The following is a 6,915-nucleotide window of genomic DNA, read 5'->3' on the forward strand; positions in this document are numbered from 1 at the left end:
GAGTTAAATTAAGAACACAATCATATTTACAACACCTAGGATGAAAATAAAATCCCTGCAAATACAACTAACCTAAGATGTGAACGATCTCCACAAGGAGAATTACAAAACACAGCTGAAATCTGAAGCTGGATGCAGTGGTTCATGCCTTTGGGAGGCCGAGGCAGGTATATCGCTTGGACCCAGGAGTTTGAGACCAACCTAGGCAACATAGTGGAACCTCATCTATACAAATTTTTTTTTTTTTTTTAAATAGCGAGGCATGGTGGCACATGCCTGTAGTCCTAACTACCCTGACGGCTTGAGGCCAGGAGTTCAAGCCTGCAGTGAGCTATAATGACTCCACTGCATTCCAGCCTGGGTGAAAGGGTGAGACTCTGTCTCAAAAAAGGAAGGAAATAAGAAAAGGAAGGAAGGATGGAAGGGAGGGAGGAAGGGAGGGAGGGAGGGAGGGAGGGAGGGAGGGAAGGAAGGAAGGAAGGAAGGAAGGAAGGAAGGAAGGAAGGAAGGAAGGAAGGAAGGAGATTTTGATAACACAAATAAATGGAATAACATTCCATGTTTACAGATTAAAAGAATCAATATTGTTAAAATGGCCACACTGCCCAAAGCAACTTGTAGATTCAAGGCTATCTCCATGAAACTACCAACATCATTCTTCACAGAATTAGAAAAAACTATTCTAAATTTATATGGAACACCCCCAAAAGCCAGAATGGCCAAAGCAATTCTGAGCAAAAATAATAAAGCCAGAGAGGCGTCATACTACCCAATTTCCAGCTATACTATAAGTGTACACTAACCATGATACTGTTACAAAAGCAGACACTTAAGCCAATGGAACAGAATAGAACACTCAAAAATAAAGCTGCACACTTACCACCATCTGGATCGTGGACAAGGCCAACAAAAACAAACAATGGGGAAAAGGCACCCTATTCAATAAATGGTGCTGGGATAATTCGCTAGCCATAAGCAGAAGAGTGAAACTGGATGCTTACCTTCCACCATACACACAAATTAATTCAAGATGGATTAAAGGTTAAAATGTAAGACTTCAGATTATGAAAACTCTAAAACAAAACCTAGGAAATATTTTTCTCGACATTGGCCTTGGCAAATAATTTTTGGCTAAGTTTCTAAAAACAATTGCAACAAAAACGAAATTGACAAGTGAAAGTCAATCAAACTAAAAAGCTTCTGCACAGCAATAGAAACTATCCACAGAGTAAACAGACAACTTACAGAATGGGAGAAAATATTTGCAAACTATGCATCTGATAAAGATCTAATATAACAAATCCATAAGGAAGAAAAAATGACAAGCATAAAACAACCCCAGTTAAAAAGGGCAAAGCTAATACAGGAGCAGAAAATCAAACTCCGCATCTTCTCACTTATAAGTGGGAGCTGAACAATGGGAACACATGGACACAGGGAGGGGAACAACACACAATGGGGAACAACACACAACACACACTATAATTTTCTGTAGGGGGTTGAGGAGAGGGAGAGCATCAGGAAAAATAGCTAATGCATGCTGGGCTTAATACCTAGGTGATGGGTTGATAGGTGCAGCAAACCACCACCACACACGTTTATCTATGTAACAAAACTGCGCTTCCTGCACATGTACCCCAGAACTTAAAATTTAAATCAAGAAAAGGCAAAGGACATGAACAGATATTTTCTCAAAAGAAGACACTCAAGTATATGAAAAAACACTCATCCTTACTAATCATCAAATAAATAAATGCAAGCAAAAACCACAGTAAGATGCCATCTCACATCAGTCACAACAGCTATAATTAAAAAGTAAAAAAATTAGATGTTGGCCAGGCTGCAGAGTAAAGGGAATGCTTATACACTACTGTTGATGGAAATGTAAACTGGTTCAGGTACTGTGGAAAGTATTTTGGAGATTTCTCTAAGAACTTAAAACAGAGATACCCTTCGACCCAGCATTCCCATTACTGGGTATATATTCAAAGGAAAATAAATTATTCTACCAGAAAAATATATATGCACTCGTACGTTCATCAGCATGTTATTCACAATAGCACAGACATGGAATGAACCTAGGTGCCCATCAAAGGTGGATTGGATAAAGAAAATGTGGTACATATACACTATGGAATACTATGCCTCCATAAAAAAGAATGAAATTATGTCCTTTGCAGCAACATGGATGGAGCTAAGGACATAATCCTAAGCAAATTAGTGCTGGAAAAGAAAACCAGATACCACACATTCTCACTTATAAGTGGAACCTAAACACTGAGCACACAGGAACATTAACATGGGAACAAGACATGCTGCAGGCTATGGGGGTGGGGGAGAGAGGGGAGCATGGGCTGAATAACTACCTACTGGGTACTATGCTCACTACCAGGGTGCACTGTACAAAAGTAACAAATCTGCATATGCACTGTGTCTGGAAAAAACTGAAATTATAAAAACCAAGAGAATATGTTTCTAATGAATGTAGACTTTATTTGATGGACTGGACTAGAATATAATATTTTTTTAAGGGGAAAGGCATTGGGGGATGCACAATGTCTACAGGTTTCTAAACCTCTCTGGTTTCTCACCTAATTCATAGTCTCTTATGTCATTTTCATAGTTTTCATATTCTGCCTTTCCACCTCTTCTTTTTAACAAGTAAAATTCCTCATAGCATACAAAAAAACAATTTTATAAAAAACCCATATTATAGATCAGGGACCTGTGGATTATATGCTATTAGAACTATACAAAATGTCTCTATATAGTTTTCTGTATCTTTGGAATATCTTTGGGTGAAGCTGCAGACCTTCTTGGTGAGTGTTACAGCTCTGCGCAGAGCCAAACAGTGAGCAGCAGCAAGACTGCAAAGAGCAAAAGAACAAAGCCTCCACACTGTGGAAAGGGACCCTAGCACGTTGCTGTTGCTGGCTCTGGCAGCTGCTTTTATTCCCTTATCTCACCCCACCCACATCCTGATGATCGGTCCATTTCATAGAGAGCTGATGGGTTCATTTTACAGAGAGCTGCTTGGTCTGTTTACAATCCTTTAGCTAGACACAAAAGTTCTCCAAGTCCCCACCAGATTAGCTAGACACAGAGCACTGATTAGTGCGTTCACATACCTTGAGCTAGACACAGCATGCTGATTGGTGCATTTACAATCCTCCAGCTAGACGTAGTAAGTTCTCCAAGTACCCACCGGACTCAGGAGCCCAGCTGGCTTTGCCTAGTGCATCCCGGCCGCGGGCGGAGCTGCCCGCCAGTCTCTGGCGCGCTGCCGCACTCCTCAGCCGTTGGGCGGTTGACGGGACCGGGTGCCGCGTAGCAGGAGGTGGCGCCCGTCCCCTCGGGGTGGCGCGCGGGAGCCTGCGGTTGGGGGGCGGGGGGCGGGGGGCGGGGGGCAGGGGACGGGGGCGGGGAGGAGGGTGAGGGCTCCAGCATGGCAGGCTGCAGGTCCCGAGCCCTGCCCCCTTGCCCCGCGGGGAGGTGGCTGAGGCCCAGCGAAAATTCGAGCGCGGCGCCGGCGGGCCATCACTGTTGGAGGACCCAGTGCACCCTCCGCAGCTGCTGGCCCGGGTGCTAAGCCTCTCACTGCCCAGGGCCGGCGGCGCCAGCCGACCGCTCAAGAGTGCGGGGCGCGCCGAGCCCGCGCCCACCCGGAAGTCGCGCTGAGCCCGCGCCCACCCGGAAGTCGCGCTGGACCTGCGAGCACCGCAGGCAGCCCAGGTTCCGGCCCGCGCCTCTCCCTCCACACCTCCCCGCCAGCAGAGGGAGCCCGCTCAGGCCTCAGCCAGCACAGAGAGGGGCTCCCACGGTGCAGCTGCGGGCTGAAGGGCTCCTCAAGCGCGGCCAGAGTGGGCTGAGGCCGAGGAGGCGCCGAGAGCCAGCGAGGGATGCCAGCAAGCTGTCACCTCTCAGAAATACAGGAAGAACATCAATAATGTTCGAAGTTATAAAGTAGTAGGTTTCTATCAAGAGTAAAACATAAACGAAGTTATAAAGTAGTAGGTTTCTATCAAGAATAAAACATAAACGATCAAAGAATTCCTTATAAAAACATTTTTTATTTCTAGGAATCAAAACATAAATATAAAATTTGAGAGTCCACCAAAAAAAATTAGATGCCAGATTTCACTATAATTATCAGGGAAGCGCCCAAATGGGTTGTTTACGGCGCCTCGGGGAAACTTTCTGTTTCGTGTTAAGGGTCTTGAACCATGATGTTTAGAAAACCATGGGCTGATGCTTTCAGAACCTCTGTGATTTTTGCCTCCGACACTGCATCCAATAGACTAGCATGTTGATTAGGGAAAGCTAAATTCAATAAAAGACGACTGTAAGTGGGGTCACCACCTTGAGGGGTCATGTTAGAAAAGTAGATGATAAGGTGGTATTGATAGAGTATTGAAGTCTGGGCTCAAATGGTTGCCCGGGGCCTTTCAAGACCAATGACTGATAAGAATAGGTAATGTTCAGGACATAGAGTTTAGGATTGGGGGACACTGTGAGTTAAGGGCCATGACAGAAGTCTTCATAAGTAAACTGTTAATTGACACAAGCTGCTACCTGCCCAGGTGAGCAATCTGTTGGCCCAGAGGAGAGTTGCTTACTGACATAAATTGATTTGCAGAAATTTCCTGAAGCAAACAATAAGTTATTTATTGGTTTGCAGCCTTACTTTCCTGAAAAATGAATTGTGAAATCATGTTGACACAGATGGCCTCAGGTTTCAGTTCGGATAATTAAGCTGTGTAAATATAGAAAGTCGAAGGTTTCTGGGTGCTGTTGATTCACAGTATGCAACAATGATCATATTACTTTTATTTACTATGAGCTTCAGCTGAAAATCCAAAAGAAACTTTAATTTCAGATATTTAATGAAATCATTATAGCTGTGGTAATTTCCTTTAGCTGGGTGTGAGTGTGTGATGTGAGCGTGTGGTGTGTGTGTGTGTGTGTGTGTGTGTGTGTGTGTGTGTACTCTGGCAGCATATTCCAAATAATTTCTGTAAAATTTCAGTTTGAAATTAATAGAAGACATATTAAATTGTTTAAACTCTTTGTTATTTAAATTCTATATTACTTTAGTCGATTACTCTGTATTATTACGGCAAAGCTTTGATATGTTGCCCTGAATTTAAAGAAAAGGCTGTTCGGCCTAAAAACAGGAATATTTTATTACCAAAAAGAATTAACTACCATATGTCATTTACAGAAAAGAGTAAATTCTTCAGGGCATAGAAAATACACATTTCCTTCTGTTTGTGTGGAAATAAGCAAAATACCTGTTATAATAGATTCCTCACAGAATTTTGTGAAGCTTCAGGTAAACTTGAAAGAGAAAAATTAAAATGCTAGAGTTTCATAATTACAAATTGGGATATAAAAATAGAATAATTATTTGAATTTTGTATTTCTCTCCAGGGGATCAAAAGTAATATATAAACTTTTAATAAATATTGATATAGCTTCACGTTGACTCCATATGTGAGCAATTTGCTTTCTGTTAAATTCACAATTGCATAATTTTTTTCAGGCTGGAATGCACTTGGATGCCAGAGATTTTGATTTCTTCATGTGAAATAAGGTGATAATACATTCCAAAGTATATTTTTTTTCAACTTTGAATATATCTGGTGTATTTGGAGTAATATCTGAGTAAATACACTTATATGTAAGAGAATCAAAGGAACAAGATATTATTTTATATCCAAGGAAATTAACACTTAGAACATAAATACGTATTGCATTACTTCATATTAAAGAAATGTTTTACAAAAGAAAATAAAGGAGCTTATTTTATAGCCCCATTTCCACAAATAATAGCAAAGGTACATACACATATCTAATGTTTTACACACTCATTATTGTTTCTCTTAAAATTTGTTGCTTATACTATTTTAAAAGGCAAGCCTATAGATTGTTGTGTGTATATACATATACACACAACATACATATATGTGTGTGTGTGTGTGTGTGTGTGTGTGTATATATATATATATATATATATATATCAGCAAGCAAGAGAATGGGCCTCTTCCTGCTGAGGTTTAACATTTGCATGTATATGTATATTTTGATTCACATAGACTTATTGTTCTTTAATTACATGAACAGTGATTCCTGGTTACATTATTGGAAAATGGAAGCAATGCTCAAAGAGCATCACCTAAATTTCCATCATATTTTGCTCTCAATATATTTTGTACATCCAAATATATTGTGATTAATCTGCATACATTTTTGCTGTTCTAGGTGACGCTGGTATGAGGCTAGGTAATACACGACCTTAGTCTGCATGTTGTACTTGTGTAACACACATAATTTTACAGTGCTAACAGGTGCTATAATAACTAACTATAGTTAATGATGAATGAAAGAAGGAAGATGTTAAGATGTTAGGGAAGGACTCAAAAGATGCAGTGCTTGAGTTAGAATTTTAAGGGAGATTATGCAAAAGCAGTCACTTAAGGTGGGTCGGGATGATCTAGAATGTGGGAATGATGTATGCAAAGTCACACAGGAGAGATACAGCATGCATGTTTAGAAAATTGTTGATTACATATGGAAAGTTTGCAGGACTTGCATCCTAGAATGTCAGGATTTTAAGCTAAGTAGGGTTCAAATTAAATTTTTCACATACTTCGCTGCATTATAATAACTAGTTTATGTTTAACTCATCCACTAAACTAAGTTATTTGAAAAGAGATGCCAGTGTTCACTCAATCTAGTTGTCTGTCATTAATAATTTAAAAATAATTGAGATTTTAATTTTGGTCTGCTAAGCCTGTTTAATTAAAATTTGACGTTAAATAAGATTTTACAGGCCTCATTTTTTTTTCAGTCATCACAGTTTGAATATTAAACATTACTACTTTTATCTCCCTCAGTCAGCATAAAACATACTAC

General features: G+C 40.3%; 1 long non-coding RNA gene across 2 annotated transcripts in view, besides 2 other annotated features; it reads right to left on the reverse strand.

Annotated features, from left to right (window-relative positions):
- Positions 1 to 3,390, reverse strand: part of LOC105379016 (uncharacterized) — a 30,505-nt gene extending 27,115 nt beyond the window's left edge. For both annotated transcript variants that reach the window (XR_948416.3, XR_948417.3), the window contains exon 1: positions 3,129 to 3,390. This is a non-coding gene — a long non-coding RNA (uncharacterized LOC105379016). The remainder of the gene's footprint in view (positions 1 to 3,128) is intronic.
- Positions 2,424 to 3,249: an enhancer, noted in NCBI's record as "OCT4-NANOG-H3K27ac hESC enhancer chr5:70584717-70585542 (GRCh37/hg19 assembly coordinates)". NCBI's record gives its function as "activates a minimal SCP1, AML or CMV promoter by ChIP-STARR-seq in naive H9 embryonic stem cells {active_cell/tissue: H9 hESC(naive)}" and the evidence as "EXISTENCE:reporter gene assay evidence [ECO:0000049][PMID:30033119]".
- Positions 3,250 to 4,075: an enhancer, noted in NCBI's record as "OCT4-NANOG-H3K27ac hESC enhancer chr5:70585543-70586368 (GRCh37/hg19 assembly coordinates)". NCBI's record gives its function as "activates a minimal SCP1, AML or CMV promoter by ChIP-STARR-seq in naive and primed H9 embryonic stem cells {active_cell/tissue: H9 hESC(naive and primed)}" and the evidence as "EXISTENCE:reporter gene assay evidence [ECO:0000049][PMID:30033119]".

Source organism: Homo sapiens, chromosome 5 (assembly GCF_000001405.40).
Source record: "Homo sapiens chromosome 5, GRCh38.p14 Primary Assembly".
Lineage (NCBI taxonomy): Eukaryota > Metazoa > Chordata > Mammalia > Primates > Hominidae > Homo > Homo sapiens.